This window comes from Homo sapiens, chromosome 2, assembly GCF_000001405.40.
Source record: "Homo sapiens chromosome 2, GRCh38.p14 Primary Assembly".
Lineage (NCBI taxonomy): Eukaryota > Metazoa > Chordata > Mammalia > Primates > Hominidae > Homo > Homo sapiens.
The window spans coordinates 153,741,896-153,765,723 of record NC_000002.12 but is presented as its reverse complement, the minus strand read 5'-3'; the positions used below and the strand labels follow the sequence as shown (position 1 = coordinate 153,765,723).

Sequence of the window (23,828 nt, the reverse complement as noted above, 5' to 3'; positions counted from 1 at the left end):
CACAGCCTAACCATATCATTCTGCCCCTGACCCCTCCCACATTTCATGTCCCTTTTCACATTTAAAAACACAATCATGCCTTCCCAACAGTCCCCCAAAGTCTTATCTCATGTCAACACTAACTCAAAAGTCCACAGTCCAAAGTCTCATCTGACACAAGGCAAGTCCCTTCTGCCTATGAGCCTGTAAAATCAAAAGCAAGTTACTTACTTCGTAGATACAATTGGGGTACAGGCATTGGGTAATTACACATGTTTCAAATAGGAGAAATTGGCCAAAATGAAGGGGCTACAGGTCCCATGCAAGTCCAAAACCCAATAGGGCAGTCATTACACCTTAAAGTTCCAAAATGATCTACTTTGACTCTATGTCTCACATCCAGGTCACGCTGGTGCAAGAGTTGGGCTCCCATGGGCTTAGGCAGTGCCACCCCTGTGGCTTTGCAGAGTACAGTCCCCTCCCAGCTGCTTTCACAGGCTGGCGTTGTCTGCAGCTTTTCCAGGTGCAGTGAAAGCTGTCAGTGGCTCTACCATTCTGGGGTCTGGAGGACAGTGGCCCTCTTCTCACAGCTCCACTAGGCAGTGCACCAATGGGGACCCTGTGTGGGGGCTCCCATCCCACTTTCCCTTCTGCACTGCCCTCACAAAGATTTTTCATGAGGACTACGTCCCCGCAGCACATCTCTGCCTGGACATCCAGGCATTTTCATACATCTTCTGCACGCTAGGTGGAGTTTTCCAAACCTCAGTTCTTGACTTCTGTGCACCTGCAGGCCCAACACCAGGTATAATCTGCCAAGGCATGGGTCTTGCACCTGCACCCTCTGAAGCAATGGCCTGAGCCATACTTGGCCCCTTTTTGCTATGGCTGGATGTGAAGCAGTTGGGATTCAGGGCACCAAGTCCCTGGGCTGCACACAGCAGGGGGCCCTGGGCCTAGCCCACAAAACCATTTATTACTTCAAGGCTTCTGGACCTATGATGGGAGGGGCTGCAGATGAAGGTCTCTGACATGGCCTGGAGACATTTTCCCCATTGTCATGGTGATTAACATTTGGCTCTTCCTTACTTATGCCAATTTCTGCAGCCAGCTTGAATTTCTCCCCTGAAAATGGGGTTTTCTTTTCTATCACATCATCAGGCTGCAAATTTTTCCAACTTTCATCTTTTATGCTCTGCTTTTTTTTTGAGATGGAGTTTTGCTCTTGTAGCCCAGGCTGTAGTGCAATGGTGCAATCTTGGCTCACTGCAACCTCCACCTCCCAGATTCCAGCAATTCTCCTGCCTCAGCCTCCTGAGTAGTTTGGATTACAGGCATGTGCCAACATGCCTGGCTAATTTTGTATTTTTATTAGAAATGGGGTTTCTCCATGTTGGTCAGGCTAGTCTTGAACTCCTAATCTCAGGAGATCTGCCCTCCTTGGCCTCCCAAAGTGCTGGGATTACAGGTGTGAGCCACCATGCCCAGCCTCTGCTTTTTTTGAATGATTTGCTGCTCAGAAATTTCTCCCACCAGATACCCTAAATCATCTCTCTCAAGTTCAAAGTCCCACAGACTTGTAGGGCATGGGAGAAATGATGCCAATCTCTACGCACAGCAACAGTGACCTTTACTTCAGTTCCCAACAAGTTCCTCATCTTCATCTGAGAACACCTCAGCCTGGACTTCATTGTCCATATCACTATCAGCATTTTGGTCAAAGGCATTCAACAAGTCTGTAGGAAGTTCCAAACTTTCCCACATCTTCCTCTGTTCTTCTGAGCCCTCCAAGTCTCTAGGAAGTTCCAAACTTTCACATATCTTCCTCTGTTCTTCTGAGCCCTCCAAGTCTCTAGAAGTTCCAAACTTTCCCACATCTTCCTATCCTCTTCTGACCCCTCCAAGTCTCTAGAAAGCTCTAAACTTTCCCACATTTTCCTGCCTTCTTCTAAGCCCTCTGATGTATTCCAACCTCTTCCTGTTACCCAATTCCAAAGTCTCTTCCCCATTTTTGGGTATCCTTATAGCAGTACCCCACTAGTTCCTGGTACCAATTTACTGTATTAGTCTGTTCTCACGCTGCTAATAAAGACATATGAGGGACTGGGTAATTTATAAAGGAAAGAGATTTAGTTGACTCACAGTTCCACATGGCTGGGGAGGCCTCACAATCATGGCAGAAGGCAAAGGAGGAGCAAAATCACGTCTTACATGGTGGCAGGCAAGAGAGCCTGGGCAGGGAAACTCCCATTTATAAAACAATCAGATCTCATAAGACTTATTCACTATCGTGACAACAGTATGGGGAAAACTGCCCCCATGATTCAATTATCTCCACCTGGCCCTGCTCTTGACACATGGAGATTATTACAATTCAAGGTGAGATATGGGTGAAGACACAGCCAAATCATATCACTAAGATAGTTCACTAACACTAGGCCTGACCTACCGGAATGACTAGAGGACCTTCTTTAAAATGCACCAAGACCACTAATTATTAACTTGAACATACAAAAGCATAAAAATTCATGGTAGAAGAAATACAGAATCATATTCAATATACTCTGATATGGTGATGTTTAAACCAGTTTTATCTCAGTATGATAGTTAATAAAAATACATCAAAACAACAATAGGTAAAATTTAATTTTCAAGGAATACAAATTATATAATAATGTAAATTTTGACATCAAAAACATAAAATGTGGGTATAATAAAAGTGTAGAGTTTTGTAACTCTACAAAAGCAAATGCAATCAAAGTTAAATTGTTATCAGCTTAAAATAGTTTGTTATAAGTATGTTTTATGCAAGTCTTATAACAAAAAGGCAAATATCTGTACTAGATTTTTAAAATATAAATATAAACAATTCACTACAGACAACCATTAAGTCACAAATGATGATGGCAATAGAGGAAGAAAAAATATATATAAAACACAAGCAGAAGACAAAAGACAAGGGCTTCAGTTCACCGGGCCGAACTTTCCAGAATACTCAGTGAGATGTAGAGAAGTGGAAACTGCCCGAGCTTCAAAAAGTTACTACAGTCCTTTCCGCTTTCTCACACTGGCCTCATCCTACTCAGTAGCTGTAGAAAATGGTGAAATAAACCAGTTTCCATGATTTTTGGAGGGTCAAACAAAGTACCACTAAGGAAGAACTGAAAAAGGCTTATAGGAAACTGGCCTTGAAGTACCACCCTGATAAAAATCCAAATGGAGAGAAGTTTAAACAGATTTCTCAAGTTTACAAAGTTATTTCTGATGCCACGAAAAGAGAATTGTATAACAAAGGAAGATAACAGGTAAATAAGAGGGCTGAGCAAGTGGCAGTTCTGGGTCCCCTATGGACATCTTCAATATAATTATTTATGGAGGAAGAAGAATGCAGAGAGGAAAGAGGAGTAACATTGTTGTGCATCAGCTCTCAAAACCTTAAAAAATGTATGTGATGGTACAACAAGAAAATTGGTACTTCACAAGAATGTAATTTGTGACTAATGTGAAGACAGAAGTGGGGAAAAAAAGAGGAGAGAAGTATAGTGTTGTCCCAGTTGCCAAGTTACTGGACTGTAAATAAGAATTCATGCAATAGGGCCTGGGATGGTTCAGCATACTTAGTCTCTATGTATGCATGGAGTGCCACGGTCATGGAGAATGAATCAGTCCTAAAGACAGATGTAAACACTGAAATGGAAGAAGGATAGTTTGAGGGGAAAAGATTCTAGAAGTTCATGTTGACAAAGACATGAAATATGGCCAGAAGATAACATTTCATGGTGAAAGAGACAAAGAACCAGGATTGGAGCCAGGAGATATTATCATTGAGTTAGATGAAAAGGACCATGCTGTTTTTACTTGACAAGAAGACTAGTTTATGTCTATGGACAGACAGCTGGTTAAAATGTTGTGTGGTTTCCAAAAACCAATATCCACTCTTGACTACTGAACTATAGTCATCACCTCTCACCCAGGTCACATTGTCAAATATGGAGATATCAAATGTGTGCTAAATGAAGTCATGCCAGTTTTTCATAGACCATATGAAAAGCATCACCTAATCATCAAATTCAAGGTAAACTTTCCTGAGAATGGTTTTCTGTCTCATGATAAGCTCTCTTAGTTGGGTAAACTCCTACCTGACAGGAAGGAAATAGAAGAGATTGATGAAATGGATCAAGTTAGAACTGGTGTATTTTGATTCAAATCAGGAAAAACAGCACTATTACAATGGAGAAACATGTGAGGATGATAAACATCATCCCAGAGGTGGTGTTCACTGCCAAACTTCATAAACGGACCAGTGAGTAACACTCACTCCTGGCATTTGATGAGCAGTAGTGAGTGAATGAAGGATTGTAATCATAATGTGTTCACTACCTGCTATTGTTTTTGTTTTAGTACTCAATTATAATAATGTTTTTAAAATTAAATAATAAGTAAACAAATATAAAAGCTCAAAAAAGCAGAAAATAAATTACAAAATGGTAGTAGTAGGTTCTTACCTATCACTAATTACTTTGAATGTAAATGAATTAAATTGTCCAATAAAAAGACATAGAGTTACTGACTTGATTTAAAAAACAAGACCCAGCTCTATGCTACCCAGATAGACTCAACTCACATTTAAGGCCACACATAGACTGAAAGTGAGGGGATGAAAAATAATATTCTATGCAAATGAAAACCAAAAGAGAGAGACCAAGGTTAGCTATACTTAAAGTAGGCTTTAAATCAAACACAGTAAAAAAAGATAAAGAAGGTTATTACATAATGTTTAAGGATAAATCTATCAGGAAGATATAACAAGTGTAAATACATAATACACCCAACGTTGGAACACCTAAATATGTACGGGAAATCTTAAAGGATCTGAAGGGAGATATCAAATGCAATACAATCAGAGTGAGGATTTCAGTTCCCTACTTTCAACAATGGACAAATCATTCAGACAGAAAATAAATAAGAAAACATTAGCTTTGAAATATCCTTAGACCAAACGGATGTAATAGACATATACAGAACATTCCATTTAACAGAATACATGTTCTTTGAAAGGGAACATGGAACATTCTCCAGGATAGATTACATCTTAGGCTACAAAACAAGTCTGAACAGATTGAAGAAATTGAAAACATATCAAATATTTTTTCTAATCCAAGTGTATGCAATTATAAATCAAAAACAGAAGAAATCTTGGAAAATTCACAAATATGTGGAAATTAAACAATATATTCTTGAATAATCAATGGGTCAAGAAGAAATCAAAAGGGACATTTTTAAAAACTTAAGACAAACAATAATGGAAGCACAACATACCAAAACTTATGGGATACAACAAAAACAGTTCTATATTTAAAAATCTCAAATGAATAACTTAATGTTACACCTCAAATAAAAGAAAAAAGAAGAAAAAATTAAGCCCAAAGTTAGAAGAAATAAGAAAATAAATGTTAGAAAAGAAATAAATCAAATAGAGACTAGAAAAACAATAGAAGAAAATCTATGAAATCAATAAGTTTTTTGAGAAGATAAACATAGTCAATGAAACTTCACCTAGACTAACAAAAAAGAGAGTCAATTCAAATAACTAAAGTCAGAAAAAAGAGAAAAATTACAACTGATAGTATAGCTATATAAGAATCATAAGAGATTACTTTGAATAATTGTATGCCAACCAATAAATAAATTAGAAGAAATGGATAAATTCGTAGATACATACAACTTATTCAGTCTGAATCATGAAGAAATAGAAAATATATAAAAAATAACCATTAAAGGGAGAATCAGTAATAAAGTCTCCCATGAAGTAAATGTTCAGGATCTGATGGCTTTACTTATTTCTACCACTTAAAGGAGAACTAATATAAATCCATCTCAAACTCTTACAAAAATGAGTATTTCCAATTTTTTTTTTATGAGGGTAGAATCATCCTGGTACCAAAGCCAGACAAGGACATTATAAGAAAAACAATTGCAGGCCAATATCCCAAATGAAAATAAATGCAAAAATCCCGAACAAAATGTTAGCAATATCTAATCAACAGTGTATTAAATGAATCATTTAATCATTTAATATGATCAAGTAGAATTTATCACAGGGATGCAAGGATGATTCAACATAATCCAAATTTATAAGAATGATATACCTCATTAATAGAATGAAGGGCAAAAACCATATGATCAATCTCATTAGAGGCAGAAAAAGCTTTTGACAAAATTCAGCATCCTTTCATGATAAAATCTCCCAATGGATTAGCTATAGAAGGAATGTACCTCAACACAATGAAAGCCATGCATGACAAGCCACAGCTAACATTATACTTAATGATGAAAACAATGGCAACTTTCCCTATAAGATCAGAAACAAGACATGAATGTCTAATTTCACCTCTTCACTATAGTGCTGAAAGTGACTATAGCGCTCCTTGCCAGAACAATTAGGTAAGAGAAACAAATAAAATACTTCCAAATGGGAAAAGATTAAGAAAATTGTTCATGTTTGGTGATGACATGATCTTATGTATGAAAACCTAAAGACTCCAAAAAAAACTGTTAGAACTAATAAATGAATATAGTAAAGTTGCAGGATAAAAAAAATCAACATATAAAAGTCAGTAGTGTTTCTATGCACTAACAATGAACAATCTGAAACAGAAATGAAGAAATATATTTCATTTACAGCAGCTACTAAGAATAAAAAGTGCTTAGAAATACATTTAACCAAGGATGTGAAGGATTTGCACACTAAAAATTTCAAAGCTTTGATGAAAGAAATTGATGACACAAGTAAATGTAAAGATATTTTATGTTCACAGGTTGGAAGAATTAATATTGTTAAAATGTCACTATTAGCCAGCTGTGGTGGCTCATGCCTGTAATCCCAGCACTTTGGGAAGCTGACATGGGTGGATCACTTGAGCACAGGAGTTCAAGACCAGGCTTGCCAACATATTAAACCCTGACTCTACTAAAATAACAAAAAATTAGCTGGGTGCGGCACACAGGCCTGTAATCCCAGCTACCTGGGACACTGAGGCACCAGAATTGCTTGAACCTGGGAGGTGGAGGTTGCAGTGAGCCAAGATCATGCCATTGCACTCCAGCCTGGGTGACAAAGTGAGACTCTGTCTCAGTAGATAAATAAATAAACAAACTGTCCCTATTTCTCAAAGTGATCTACATATTGATGAAAATTCTACCGAAATGTAAATTCATTTTTCACAGAAATGGAAAAATAACTAAAATTTATATAAAACCACAAAAAAGTACAAATTTCCAAGACAATCTTGCACCCTGAAACAAACAAAGCTGGAGGCATTACACTATCTGAATTCAAAATATATTACAAAATGATAGTAATTAAAACAGCATGGTACTGGCATAAGAATAGACACATCCATCAACCAATGGAACAGAATAGAGAGCCAAAAAAAAAAAAACCCCATTTATTCACTGTCAATTGATTTTTGATAAAGGTGTCTAAAACACAATATAGAAAAAAGACAGTCTCTTCAATAAAGGATATGGGGAAATTTGGGTATTCACATGCAAAAGAATAAAATTGAACCCTCATCTCATGCCATATACAAAAGCGACTCAAACTGGGTTAAAAATTGATGTAAAAAGTGAAACTGTAAAACTACTAAAAGAGAAAAAGAACAGGGGAAAACTATACAACAATTGTCTGGACAATGTTTTACGTTTGACCATGATAGCTCAGGGAACAAAACCAAAAATAGAGAAATAGGATTATATCACACTTAAAACTTCTGTAGGGTAAAGAAAAAAATTAACAGAATGAAGATGCAGCCTATGAATTGAGAGAAAATATTTGCAAGCCATACATCTAATAAGGAGTTAATATTCAAAATATATATGAAATGCAAACAATTCAATAGAAAGCAAACAAATAACCTGATTTAAAAAATGGGCAAATGAGCAGAGCAGATATTTCTTAAAAGAAGACATTCAAATGGCCGACAGATACATTTAAAAAATGTTCGACATCTCTAATCATTGGGGAAATGCATATTAAAACAATGAGGTATGTCCTTACACTTATCAGGATAGCTATTATCAAAAAGATGAAAGATAACAAGTGTAGGGGAGGGTGTGGAGAAAGAGAACCCTACTAGACTATTGTTGGGAATGTAATTTGGTACAACCATTGGTGAACACTGTATGGAGGCTCCTGAAAAAAGTAAAAATACAATTTCACTAGTATATCTAAAGGATTTGAAATCAATATGTCAAGGAGATACCTGCACTTCCATGTTTATTGTAGCTTTATTTATAATTGTCAAGTTTTGGAATAAACCTTCATCAGTCAATTAATGGACAAAAACGTAGTATATACACAGAATGAAATTCTATTCAGCCTTTACAAAGAGGGAAATTATATCATTTGCAACAACATATATGAGTGTGGAGGACATTATGCTAAGTAAAATAAGCCAGCTATAGAAAGACAAAGGCCACATGTTCTTGTATGTGGAAGCTAAGAAGCTAACACGGAAGAAAGCAGAACTGTGGTTACCAGAAACCAGCGACTGTGGGGGAGGGTAATAGGTGGATATTGATAAAAGAGTACAGTGTTTCATTTAGACAGGAGAAATAAATAATTTTTGAGGTGATGGTTATGTTAATTAGCTCAATTCAATCATTCCATATTGTATACAAATATTATAGCATCACTTTGTACTCCATAAGTGCATACAATTATAATTTGTCAATAGCTAACAAAAATAAATAAACGTTCTTTAAAAAATACTGTCTAAAAAAGGAAGAGATTCTATATTTGTGACACAAGTGTTTAGTGGGTGAAATGTATACTGGTTAGGTGAGAAAACAAACAAACAAAAACACCTGGAAAAAAATAGGATAATAGAAAAAAAAGCCTAGAGAACTGGAGCAGATAGTTTACATTTTGGCCAAGGAAGGCCCAGCTGTATTTCCTGAAGATACAGAACTGATAAATTTCACTGAGTATTTTGAAGATACTAGTTTGGAATGGAAAGTCTAGTCAATGGTACATTCTAAAATGGTAAACCTGGAAAGCAGAAAGGATGTTGAAAAACAAAAAAAAGAAAAATGTTTCTCATAATTAAAAGATAAAGGCACTCATGTCCAACATGAGTAGAAATAAAATAAGGTATTTGAGGCAAGTTTCATCTCTTTGCAATCTTAACATGTGATTTAAAAGCAAAAATCCAGTTTCAATCAATTGAACTGATAAAATGTGAGTTACTGGTCTTATTAAGTTCTACTACAAGGATACAAAAGTAAACTGAAATCGATGTTTGATTTTATAAAATAGCTATGGCAACTAGTTCTGTCTCCTTTAAATGGTTCATTTAACAGAGCAATGCACAATTTATAAGCACTTATATTCCCATATTTATTTACTTGGTTTATAAATATGTTTTCTTTGTCACCAAAGCATTTTTCTCTTTTTAATCTAAATAAGGTAAAATGCTTATTTTAATAATTGACTTTTCCACAAAAGATATTAAATTGATCATAGTATAGTATTCATAAATGTGATCTTATACATAATTGCTCTCTGAAGACAATCTTTTTTATTGCATGCTTAAATGCTATTTATTTCCCAATCAAATCAGAGAAGGTAAGAAAGACATAATGTGTACTTACCAGACTTCTTCAAATATACTATATAATCTTATAAGTTATTTTTACCTTACAGATGAAAGACTTTTATAGGAATATATTTTTCCAAGGCTGCTTAATGGCATTATTTGTTGAAAATGTTGCGGAGAATGACAGAAGTTAACTTCTTGCAAAATCAATATGGCATAAACATTAATCAGGAATAATCACTTAAGACTACAGAAAATGTCCATTACTTTTTGCCTGGTGAGGAGGGTATGTTCGAGATAAAGATTTGGGTACTTATTGTAATGATATCTTGGAGGACTAGTAAGTATGTTGAAGGAGATATTTTAAACAACCAACCACAATAATGTAGTCTAGTTAAAGAAAAAAATAAAATACACAACAAAAGAAACAATTAACAGAGTGAAGAGACAAACTACAGATTCAGGAAACATTTCTGAAAGCCATGCATCAGATAAGGGGTTAATATACAAAATATATAAGTAACTCAAAACACTCTATAGAAAGAAAACAACATTATTTAAAACTGGACAAGGGACCTGAATAGGTATTTTTCAAAAGAAAACATACAAGAGGTCAATGGATAAATTAAAAAATGCTCAACATCACTAATCATTAGAGAAATGCCCATTAAAACCATAAGCTCTTATCTAGTACCTGTCAGAATGCATATTTTGAAAAAGATGAAAGATAACAGTGTTGGCCAGGATGTGGGCAAATGGGAAATTGATTACTCAGTTGATAGGAATACAAATTAGTACAGCCATTATGGAAAATTGTATAGAGTTCCTCAAAAAACTAAAAATAGAGGAGAGGGATGGATCAAGATGGCAGAAGAGAAACCTCTCCTGTCATCTCAACCACAAGGATATCAATTTAACAACTATCTACACTAAAAAACAAACAAACACAAACGAACAGAAACCTTTATAAGATCAAAAAGTCAGATGAGCAATCGTAGTTGGTTTTAACTTCATATCACTGAAAGAGGTACTGAAGAGGTAGAGAAAACAGTCTCAAATTACAGACACCACTCTTCCCTCATTCTCTGGCAGCAGCAGTGTGGTGTGGAGTGTTTCTGTGCAATAGAGAGAGGGAGAGTGCAGCAATTTTGAGGCATTGAACACAGTGCTATCCTGTTATAGAAGAAAGCAAAACTGGATCAAACTCAGCTGGCATCCACCCATGGAGGGAGCATTTAAGCATTTAAACAAGCCCTAGACAGAGGAAAATTGCCAATTCCAGCAGGCAGAATTTGACTTCCTGAAAGCCTTGCCATTGTGGGCTAAAGCTCTCCTCCGGGGCTCTGATAAACTTGAAAGGCAGCTTAGACAACAAGGATTACAACTTTTAGGTGAGTCCTAGGGTTGAACTGGGCCTAGAACCAGAGGACTGAGAGGGCACACAAACTACTAAGACAGCCAGGGAAGGTAAGGCAGTGCTGACATCATCCCTCCTTTAACCCCAGGCTGCACAGCTCACAGCTCCAAAAGAGACTCCTTCCTACTACTTGAGCAGAGCAGCGGGAAGAGTGGGGGGACTGTCTTGCACTTTGGATACCAACTCAGCCACAGCAGGATAGGCACTGGTCAAGAGTTGTGAGGCTGTCATTTCAGGTCCTAGTTCCTGTGCAACTTTTCCAGACACTCTGGGCCAGAAGGGAACCCAGTGTCTTGAAGGGAAGGATCCAGTCCTGGTAGGATTTATCACCTGCAAACTGAAGAGCCCTTGGGCTCTGAATAACCAACAATATACCCAGGTACTACATTGAGGGTCAGAGACTTGCTGGTTTCAGGTGAGACTGAGCACATTCCCAGCTGTTGTGGCTTTGATGTGAGACTCCATCTTGAGAAAAGCAGAGGGAATAGTGAAAGAGACTTTGTCTTGCACCTTAGGTACTAGCCTGGCCACAAGTGGGTAGACACCAAGTGGGCTCTTGGGGTCTCTGATTCCAGGACTTGGTATTGAATGGCATTTCTGAATCTGCACTGGGCCAGAGTGTAGTCCACTGCCCTGAAGGGAGTGTCCCAGCCACCAGCATTTACCACAAGCTGACTGAAGAGCCCTTGGCCCTGAAGGAAACATTGATGGTAGTCTTACAGTGGAATTGTGGTGGCATAGGCCATGAGGCGAGGCTCCTCTGTTATTAGAAAAGGGAGAGAAAACTGGGAAATGCTCTATCTTGTAGTTTGCCTACAAGCTCAGCTGCAGTAAAATAGAATGCCAGGTAAATGTTTAAGGTTTTTGACTCTAGTCCCTAACTACTGGATGACACCTCTAAACCTGCCTAGGTCCTGCAGGACCTCACAGCCCTAAAGGGAAGGAAACAGGCACAGTTGGCTTTGCCACCTGCTGACTGTAGAGCCTCATGGCCTTGAGTGAACATAGGCAGTAGCCAGGAAGTAGTTACAGCAAACCTTAGACAAGACCCAGTCCTATTGGTAATGGCCACAGGGGTGCTCGTGTCATTCCACCCCCCAGGTGGGTCAGAACAGAGGGAGAGGGAGAGACTCCATTTGTTTGAGAGAAACTAAGGGAAGAAAACAAGAATCTCTGCCTGGTAATCCAGAGAATTCTCCTGGGTCTAGTCCAAGACCATCAAGGTAGGACCTCAGCGCATCTACAAGAATCACAGTGTTACTGGGTTTTGGATGCACCATAAAACAGATACATCTTAAATCACAAAACTCAAGTCATTTCAAATATCTGGAAAGCTTTCCCAAGATGGACAGATACAAACAAGCCCAGGCTGTGAAGACTATAATAAACACCTAACTCTTCAATGCCCAGCCACAGATGAACATCTATAAGTATCAAGACCATCCGGGAAAACATGACCTCACCAAATAAACTAAATACAGCACCAGCGACCAATCCTGGAGAAACAGAATTATGTGACCTATTGTATAGGTAATTCAAGATACTTGTGTTGAGGAAACTTAAAGAAATTCAAGACAACAAAGAAGGAATTCAGGATTCTACCAGATTAAGGAGGAGATTGAAATAATTAACAGGAAACAAGCAGAAATTCGGGAGCTAAAAAATGCAACTGGCATACTGAAGAATGCATTAGAGTCCTTTAATAGTAGAAATGATAAAGCAGTAGAAAGAATTAATGAGCTTGAAGACAGGTTATTTGAAAATACACAAAGGAGTTCAAAGGAAAAATAATAAAAAGCAATGAAACATGCCTATAAGATCTAGAAAATAGCCTCAAAAGGCAAATCTAAGAGTTATTGGCCTTAAAGAGGAGACAGAGAAAGAGATACAGGTACAAAGTTTATTCCAATATATAATAACAGAGAACTTCCCAAACCTAGAGAAAGATATCAATATCCTAGGACAAGAAGGTTATAGAACACCAAACAGATTTCACCCAAGGAAGACTAACTGAAAGTATTTAATAATCAAACTCCCAAAGATAAAGGATAAAGAGAAGATTCTAAAAGCAGAAAGAGAAAATAAACAAATAACATACAACGAGGATCCAATATGTCTGGCAACAGATTTTCAGTGGAAACCTTACAGGCCAGAAGAGAGAGAGTGGCATGACATATTTAAACTGCTGAAGGACAAAAGAAGCTTTTACCCTAGAATTGTATATCTGGTGAAAATATTTTTAAAACATGAAGGAGAAATAAAAACTTTCCCACACAAACAAAACCTGAGGGATTTCATCAACACCAGACCTGTCCTGTAAAAAATGTTACAGGGATTACTTTAATCATAAAGAAAAGGACATTAATGAACAATAAGTAGTTACCTGAAGGAACAAAACTCACTGGTAATAGCAAGTACACACACACAAAAAAACACAGAAATTGTAAAACTGTAACTGTGGTGTGTAAACTACTCTTATCCTAAGTAGAAAGACCAAATGATGAACCAATCAAGAATAATAACTATAACAACTTGTCAAGACACAACTGTAAAATAAGATATGAATAGAAATAACAATAATTTAAAAGCAGGGTGAAGTTAAGGCATACAGTTTTTATTAGTTTTATTTGTTTGTTTCTTTATGCAAATAGTGTTAAATTGTTATCTGGTGAAAATAATGGTTGTAAGACAGTATTTACAAGCCTCGACATAACCTGAAACCAAAAAACATACAATGAATACACAAAAAATGAGAAGCAAGAAAGAAAATCATATCACCAGAGAAAATTACCTCTATTAAAAAAAGACAGGAAGGAAAGAAAGAAAGAAAGTCACATGTCAACCGGAAAACAAATAACAAAATGGCAGGAGTAAGTTCTTACATATAAATAATAACATTGAATGTAAGTGGACTAAACTTTCCAATCAGAAGATATCAACTAGCTGAGTGAATGAAAAAAAAACAAGACCCATTGATCTATTGCCTACAGTAAATACACTTTACATAAAAAGACACAAGTAGACTAAAAGTAAAGGGATGGAAAAAGATATTCCATGCCAATAGAAACTAAAAAAGGACAGAAGTAGCTATTCTTATGTCAGACATAGTAGATTTCAAGACAAAAACTGTAAGAAGAGAGAAAGGTCACTATATAATGATAATAGCATCAATAGAGCAAAAATATATAACAATTTTTAATACATATGCACCCAACATGAGAGCACATAGATATATAAAGCAAATATTACTAGAACTAAAGAGAGAGATAGGCCCCAGTACAATAATAGTTGGAGACTTCAACACCCCACACTCAGCATTGGATAGATCTTCCAAACAGAACATCAGAAAAAGAGAAAAAAAAAACAAAACAAAACATGAGACTTAAACTGCATTAGAGACCAAATGGATCTAATAGATATTTACAGAACATATCATCCAACAGCTGCACAATATGCATTCTTTTCCTCAGCACATGGCTCATTCTCAAGGACAGATCATATGTTAGGTCACAAAAGAAGTCTTAAAACACACAAAAAATTGAAATAATATCAGGCATTTTCTCTAACCACCATGGAATAAAACTAGCAATTAATAACAATAGGAGTTTTGGAAACTATACGAATACATAGAAATTAGAGAATATGCTCCTGAATGACCAGTGGGTCAATGAAGAAATTAAGAAGGAAACTAAAAAATTTCTTGAAATAAATGACAATGGAAACAAAACATACCAAAACCTATGGGATACAGCAAAAGCACTACTCAGAGGGAAGCTTGTAGCTTTAAGTGCCTATAACAAATAAGAGAAAAAACTTCAAAAAACACCTAATTCTAAACCTTAAACAACTATAAAAGCAAGAGCAAACCAAACCCAAAATTAGAAGAAAATAAATAATAAAGATCAGAGCGGAAATAAATGAAACTGAAATAAAAAACAACAAAAATCAATGAAACAAAAAGTTGTTTTTTTAAAAATTAAACAAAATTGACAAACTTTAGCCAGACAAAGAAAAAATGAGAAAAGGTCCAAATAAATAAAATCAGAAATGAAAATGGAGACGTTACAACTGCTATCCCAGAAATTCAAAGGATTATTTGTGGCCTCTATGAGCAACGTAAGTCCACAAAGTGAAAAATCTAGAAGAAATGGTAAAATTCCTAGACACATACAACGTACAAAGACTGAACCATAAAAAAAAATCCAAAAGGTGAACACACCAATAACAAGTAACAATATCAAAACGTAATAAAAATTCTCCCAGTAAACAAAATCCCAGGACTTAGTTTCAATGCTGAATTCTATGAAACGTTTAAAGAAAAACTAATACAAATCCTACTTAAACTATTCCAAAATATAGAGGAGGACAGAACATTTTCAAACTCATTCTATGAGGCCAGTATTACCGTGATACCAAAACCAGACAAACACACATTAAAAAAAGAAAACTATGGGCCAATATCTCTGGTGAATATTGATGCAAAAGTCCTCAAGAAAACACTAGCAAACCAATTCATCAATACATTAGAAAGATCATTCATCATGAACAAGGGGGATTATTTCTGTAATGCAAAGATGACTCAAGATACTCAAATTAATCAGTGTGATACATTGTATCAAGTGAATGAAGGATAAAAATCATATGATCCTTTCATTGATGATTAAAGGAATTTGATAAAATTCAACTTCCTTTCATGATAAAATACCCTAAATAAAAAACTGAAGATAGAAGGAACATACCTCAACATAAAAGCAATATATGACAGGCCCACAGCTAGTATCATACTAAATGGGGAAAAACTGAAAGTCTTTCCTCTAAGATCTGGGACATGACAAGAATGCACATTTTCACCATTCTTATTCAATATAGTATTGGTTGTCCTAGCTAAAGCAATCAGATAAAAGAAATAAAGGGCATCCAAACTGCAATGGACAAAGTCAAATTATCCTTATTTGCAGATGATATGATCTTATATTTGAAAAAATCTAAAGATGCCACAAAAAAGCATTAGAATTGAAAAACTCGCCAAAGTTGCCAGATGCAAAATCAACATACAAAAATAAGTAGCATTTCTATATGCCAACAGTGAACAATCTGAAAAAGAAATAAAAAAGGAATCCCATTTACAATAGCCACATATAAAGTTAAATACCTAGCAATGAACTTAACCAAAGAAGTGAAAAATCTCTATAATGCAAAGTATGAAACACTGAAGAAAGAAATTGAAGAGGATAGCAAAAAATGAAAATGTATTCCATGTTCATAGATTGGAAGAATGAATATTGTTAAAATGTCCATACTACGCAAAGCAATCAACAAATTCAATACAATCTCTATCAAAATATCAAGGACATTCTTCAAAGTAGAAAAAGCAATGCCAAAATTTATTTGAACCCATGAAAGACTCAGAATAATCTGAGTAAAAGCAATCAATGCTGAGCAAAAAGAACAAAACTGGAGGAATTATATTACCTGAAGTCAGATTATGCTACAGAGTTATAGTCATCAACACAGTATGGCACTGTCATGAAAACAGACACATAGACCAATGGAACATAATAAACAACTCAGAAAAAAATCCATACACCCTACAGTCAACTCATTTTTGACCAAGGTGTCAAGAACATAAACTAGGGAAAAGTCAGTCTCTTCAATAAATAATGCTATAAAAACTGGATATTCATATGTAGAAGAATGAAACTAGAACCCTCCCCCTCACTATATACAAAAATCAAATCAAAATGAATTACAGCCTTAAGTCTAAGACTTCAAATGATGAAACTACTACAAGAAAACCCTGGGGAGAAAATCCAGGACATTGGTCTTGGCAAACTTTTCTTTCTTTCTTTCTTTTTTTTTCCAGGTATCATTATAATAAGGGTGGAAAAAGTTTCTTGAATAGTGCCTCATGAGCATAGGCAACCAAAGCATAAATGGACAAATGGGATCATATCAAGTTAAAAAGCTCTGCACAGCAAAGGATACACTCAACAAAGTGAAGAGACAACTCACAAAATGGGAGAAAATATTTGCAAACTAGTCATCTGACAAGGGATTAACAACCAGAATATATAAGGAGCTCAAACAACTCTATAGAAAAAAATCTAATAATCCAATACAAAATTGGCAAAACATTTGAATAGACATTTCTCAAAAGAAGACATAAAAATATCATACTGGCATATGAAAAGGTACTCATCATTGATTATCAGAGAAATGCAAATCAAAACTATAATGAGATATCATCTCACCTCAGTTAAAATGACTTGTCCAAAAGACAGACAATAACAAATGTTGGTGAGGATGTGGAGAAAAGGGAACTCTTGTACACTTTCAGTGAGAATATAAATTATTACATCTACTATGGAAAACAATTTGGAGATTCCTAAAAAAACTAAAACTATATCTACTATATAATCCAGCAATCCCACTGCTGGGTATGAACAACTTTTGAATATATTTAATAAACATATTGAAAGTTGCTCACACAAGTTCTAAAGAACTAAAACTATTTCTTTGAGGAATCTCCAAATTCATAATAGTGTTGAATCAGAAACCACCCAGATGTTCCTTAGGATAAATGAACTGTGGAATATATACCAAATGAAATATTGCACAAGATTAAATTGCCATTACTTTTAATGGCAAAAACTACAATTACTTTTGCACCAAACTAATATTTTATATATACTTACAATGCATATACCCAAAAGAAAGGAATTCAGTATATCAAAAAGATATCTGCATTCCCATGTTTATTGCAGCACTATTTACATGAGCTGGGATTTGGAAGCAATCTAAGTGTCTAACAACAGATACATAGACACAATGGTACATATATAAAATGGAATACTATTCAGCCACAAAAAGAGTGAGATCCTGTCATTTGCAACAACATAAATGGAACTGGTGACCATTATGTTAAGTGAGATAAGCCAGGCACAGAAAGACAAACATGCCATGTTCTCACTTATTTGTGGGATCTAATAACCAAAACAATTGGGTCAGGTGCAGTGGCTCACGTCTGTAATCCCAGCACTTTGGGAGGCCAAGGCAGAAAATCACCTGAGGTCAGGAGTTCAAGATCAGCCTGGCCAACATACTGAAACCCTGTCTCTACTAAAAATACAAAAATTAGCTGGGCATGGTGGCGTGCACCCGTAATCCCAGCTTCCAGTGAGTCTGAGGCAGAAGAATTGCTTGAACCCAGAAGGCGGAGATTGCAGCGACCCAAGATTGCTCCACTGCACTCCAGCCTGGGCGAGAGTGAGAATCTATCTAAAAAAAAAAAAAAAAAAAAAAAAAACCAAAGGCACTTTTGGAGATTTGAGAATAGAAAAATGATTACCAGAGGCTGGGAAGGGTAGTGAGGGTTTCAGGGGGTGGGATGTGGGGAAAGTTAATGGGTACAAAAAATAAAAGGAATGAATATGACCTACTATTTGATAGTAAAACAGGGTGACTATAGTCAATGATAATCGTACATTTTAAAATCATTATAGGAATGTAATTGGATAGCTTGTAATACAAAGGATAAAGTCTTGAGCAGATGGATATCCCATTCTCCATGACGTGATTATTTCACATTTCATGCTTGTATCAAAACATCTCATGTATCCCATAAATATATATACCTACTATGAACCCACGAAGATTAAAAATTTAAAAAATTACAAAAACATTAAAAGGCAACCCAGAGAGTTGGAGAAGACATTCGTGCCATAAATAATCAACAAAGGACTCATATCGAATTACATAAAAGACTTAAAATCAATTTTAAAAAACAATAGGCAACCAAACACAAAAATGAACAAAAGCCTTGAGCAAATATTTTTTACAGAAATTATATCCAAATATTTAATAAACATACTGAAAGTTGTTCAGCTTCATCAGCCATTAGAGAAATGAAAGTTGAAACCCCAAATAACATGAGTACTCAGGCTCTGGAATGGCTAAAATTGTAATAATGGAAAGTAATAATTATTGGCAAGGATACAGAATAACTTAAACTCTCAAGCCCTGCCTATTTGGCAGCTTCCACTAAAATTTAACATAAGTATAACCTACGGCCCAGAAATTCCACTGCACCCACCAGAAATACACGAGTTCTCCAAAAGACATGTACTAAAATGTTCATAGCAGCACTATTCATAATAGTGCTGAATCAGAAACCACCCAGATGTTCATTAGTGTAAATGAACTGTGGCATATATGCCAAATAAAATATTACACAACAAGATTAAATGAACTATAAATCTCTTTAACATTACAGGTGAATTTTAAAACAATATTGGGAGAAATATTTAGACACACTATATGATTCAATAATTGCATACATAGCTACATATATATATCACAACAAAACCATTAATGTTTCACAACAAAACCAATCCATTAGCTAACTAATCCATGATACCACAAATTAGGATAGTGGTAACTTTTGGGAGGTATATACTTACTAGGGGCTGGTATTATTTGGTATTTTTGTTTTTAAAAAATAATTTGAGCTCTGGCTATGTAGGTGTGTTCAGGTTTTGGAAATTTGTTGAGCTGTACACTTGTGATATTTGTACTGCTATGCATGTATATCACAATTCAATGAGCAGAAAATGTCATTTATAAAATGAGTGTATTAAGAAATTTTACTTTTATTCATTGAAGCATAGCGTATCACTATTGTAAGGGTGGTATATACATCTTTAAAAACGTACTTTCTATTGCATTCTGGGAAACCAGTACCATATTATGGCCAGGTATCATAAGTAGCAGTTTCAGGTTTTCTGATGTTAATCACAACTCTGGTGAAATATTTAAACTGCAATATACAGAACAGCAGCTTCAGGCAAAGCATGGAGGCTCCAGCCTGTAATCCCAGCACTTTGAGAGGCTGAGGTGGGACAATCGCTTGATTATCCAGGAAGTCCAGGCTGCAGTGAGCCATGTTTGCCTCACTGCACTCCAGTCCAGGTGACAGAGTGTGACCATGTTTCAAAAAACAAACAACAAACCAAAAATAGGAGCTTCAAACAAACGAATTATGATATTTTGGCCTATGTTAACCTATGCTTAATATTTGAAGTTTAATGTTAAATAAACTTTTGCTTAATAAGAATAAATCCAAAACTAGAATTTCAGGCTCAATCAATCATTTGAGAATTTCTTTCATTGAATTTAGAAATGGAAATTGCAGAAATAATAAAAATTACCTGCCGAGAATGAGAGGAAAAAACCTCAAAAGGAACCTCAGGAAGCTAACACATTTCTCTGCATTCATCAGGTGCCCAAACCAAATGCTAACTAAGCTTAATGTACATGCTCAGCCCTACCACAGATTCTGGAATCAAATAGCTAAGGAAACTTTTTAAAAAGTTCTATCAAAGAATTAAGTAGTTTCGTAAGTCCTGTAGGACTCGATTTCTATAAACTACTGTTATTTTTTAAATAACCAGCTCTTTTTTGTACATAACCTGTTTTTATAACCAGCTCTCGCTTCTTCATTGTTAATCAGTTTTTGTCTAACCACCCAATTCTCATTACTGGGTTTCTGTTTTGAGTGATCTCTCCAAGAGTATTCTGTTTGGTGTCCTCTTTCACTTCCAAGCACTGTCTGGACAAAAATCTGTGTTCCTTTCCTGTTTTTCTAATGGACCTCAGTCTATCAATTCTCACTATATTTGCTTGGTGCTGATAGCCTATGTTTCTCTGAACAATGGTCTGTTGTTCATCCTAAGATTTTCTGAAACCATGCTCTGCCTGCAAACCAGGGTACTCACTTGTCACTCACTCCTCACCAGGCCTTCGTGTCCCTACCTGGACTTCCACCAATGCTAATGGCTTTCCAACCACCTCACCTCACCTGGGAAGATACTCTCAGTCTGACATTTGTTATGCATCTGTCTATCCAGAATTCCTCATACTGCCAATTTCCAAAAAGCATTCAAACTCCAGTGGATCTGTTCCATCTCTGTGTCCCAACCATCTCAATCTGGCCCATATGACAACTCTAGTGAGAAGAAGGCAGAAATTTTAAAAAGAATGTATCTTTTTTGGTCTCGGTCATGCTCAGGATGCTACAAGATGAGAAACAACCTGGAATTTCCCATCCTTGACAATGTTTACCAAATCTTGCCCACTTGGACATTGAGACGGAGCTAAGAGAGAGGAAAAGCTGAGAAAAGATACAACTCTGTAGGTGTAAATCTAATAATTTGATTAAAAATAGGCAAAATATCTGAATATATACTTTTCAAAAGAAGACATACAAATGGGACATACGCATATGAAAAGGTGCTGAACATCACTGATAATCAGAGAAACACAAATCAAAACTATAATGAGATATCGTCTCACCCCATTTAAAATGGTTTTTATCCAAAAGACAGACAATACCAAATGCTGGTGAGGAGTGGAGAAAAGGGAACCCTTGCACATTGTTGGTAGGAAGGTAAATTAGTACAACCACTATAGAGAGCAGTTTGGAGGTTTCTCAAAAAAACTAAAAATTGAGTTACCATATGATCCAGCAATCTCACTGCTGGGCATATACCCAAAAGAAAGAAAATCAGTATATTGAATAGATGGCTATACTCCCATGTTTATTGCAACACTATTCAAAATAACCAAGTTATGGAAGCAACCTAAGTGTCCATCAACAGGTGGATGGATTAAAAAAATTGTACATATACATAATGGATTGGAGTACTCTTCAGCCATAAAAATGAATACAATCCTGTCATTCACAGCAACATGGATGGAACTGGAGGTCATGATGCTAAGTGAAATAAGCCAGGCACAGGAAGACGAACAGGCCTATTCTCACTTATTTGTGGGATCTAAAAACCAAAGGAATTGAACTTATGGAGAAAGAGAGTAGAAAGAAAGATGGCTGGAAAGAGTCATGGAGTGTTGTAGAGGTGGGAAGTGGGGAAGGTTAATGGGTACAAAAAATAGAAAGAATGACTAAGATTTACTATTTGATTGCAAAACAGGGTGACTCTAGTCAATAATAACTTAATTGTACATTTTAGAATAACTAAAATAATTTAATTGAATATTTTGAAACACAGAGGGTCAATATTTGAAGAGATGGGTAACCCTTTTCTACTATGTGATTATTATTCTTTGCATGCCTGTATCAAAACATCTTATGTGCCTCATAAATATATGCCTCTATAATATACCCACAAAAATAAAAATAGATAAATAAACAAAAAGCTTCAAAGAAAAGTGCTCTTGAAATAAAGTAGGTTCAAAAAAAATTAAAATTGAAATTAAAAAAAACTAAATAGAATTATATGATTCAGGAATCCCACTCCTGAGTATTTACCCAAAAGACATGAAATCAGTATGCCAAAGAGATGTCTGCACTTCCACGTTCATTGCAGTACTATTCACAACAACCAAGTTATCAAATCAACCTTGTGTCTATCCAACAATGAATGGATAAAGAAAATGTGTTGCCATGGATGTGAAGAAAAGGAAACGCCTGTAAATTCTATGCAAATTCTCATACAGTTGGTGAGAATTTTAATTAACACAACCTCTATGGAAAAGAATATGAAGATTTCTCAAAAAACTAAAAATATAACTACCATTCCACCCAGCAAACCCACCACACTACCCCTCCCCCTCCCCTCTTTTCCCCTCCCCCTACTTTATCCTCCCTCTCCTTTCCCCTCCCCCTCATTTCCCCTCCCCTCCCCCACCTTCTCCCCTCCTCTCTTCTCCCCTCTCTCCCCCCCCACTTCTCCTCCCCTTGCCCCTCCCCTCCGCTCCTCTCACCTCCCCTCCCCTTTCCTTCCCTTCCCTTGGAAAAGAAATCATTGTGTAAAATAACAACTGCACTAGTATGTTTCTCAAAGCACTGTTCACAACAGCAAAGTCATGAAATCAATGTAAGTGTTCATCAACAGTTGACTGGTTGAGAAAATGTGGTATATATGTACCATGAAATACTATGCAGCCATAAAAAGAGAATGAGATCACACCCTTTGTAGCAACATGGGAGGAGCTGGAGCCATTATCCTAAGTGAAATCACTCAAAATCAGATAATCAAATACCACACATTCTCACATAAGTGGGAGCTAAATTACATGTGGACATAAAGATGGAAATAATGGACACTGGGGAACTGAAAAAGGGGAAGCATAGGAGGGGAGTCAGGGTTTAAAAATCACTATTGGGTACAATGTTTACTATTGGGGGTGGGTCCACTAGAAGCCCAAACCATACTGCAAAACCATTCTATGTATATGCATTGTATACATGTAACAAGCCTGCATATGTACCCCCTAAATCTAAACTAATTTTGAGAAAGAAAAATTTGCTTTCATTAAAAGAAGGTTTCTAAAAAGAAAATGTGGTATATATATACACAATGAAGTATTATTCAGCCTTAAAAAATAAAAAAAAATTTACGAATTTATTGTTATTTGCAGCAACATGGATAAACCTGGAGGACATTATATGAAGGTAAAAGAAGCCAGTCACAGAAAGACAAATAGTGCATGTTCTCACTCACATGTAGACTCTAGAACAATCAAATACATCAAAAAAGCAGAAAGTAGAATGGTGATTTACAGAGGCTGGGGATTGGGGTTAATGGGGAGATGGTGGTTCAAAGGTACAAAGCATCAAAGGAGAGGAATAACAATTTTTTTTAAAATCCATTGCACAGTATGGTGAATATAGTTAATAATCACATCTTGTACATTTCAAAATCATTGAGAACAAATTTCAAATGTTCTAATTACAACAATGATAAGCATTTGAAATGATGGCTATATTAATTAGCTTGACTTAATTATTCCAGATTACATTTATAAATCATAAC

The 23,828-nt window shown here is 35.9% G+C and overlaps 1 protein-coding gene and 1 pseudogene across 5 annotated transcripts in view, besides 1 other annotated feature; one reads left to right on the top strand and one right to left on the bottom strand.

The window, feature by feature from the left end:
- GALNT13 (polypeptide N-acetylgalactosaminyltransferase 13) overlaps positions 1 to 23,828 on the bottom strand; it is a 1,388,282-nt gene that overhangs the window by 690,851 nt on the left and 673,603 nt on the right. The gene's annotated exons all lie outside the window — the stretch shown is intronic.
- Positions 158 to 713: an enhancer, noted in NCBI's record as "H3K27ac-H3K4me1 hESC enhancer chr2:154621524-154622079 (GRCh37/hg19 assembly coordinates)". NCBI's record gives its function as "activates a minimal SCP1, AML or CMV promoter by ChIP-STARR-seq in primed H9 embryonic stem cells {active_cell/tissue: H9 hESC(primed)}" and the evidence as "EXISTENCE:reporter gene assay evidence [ECO:0000049][PMID:30033119]".
- On the top strand, positions 2,956 to 4,438 carry DNAJA1P2 (DnaJ heat shock protein family (Hsp40) member A1 pseudogene 2; annotated as a pseudogene).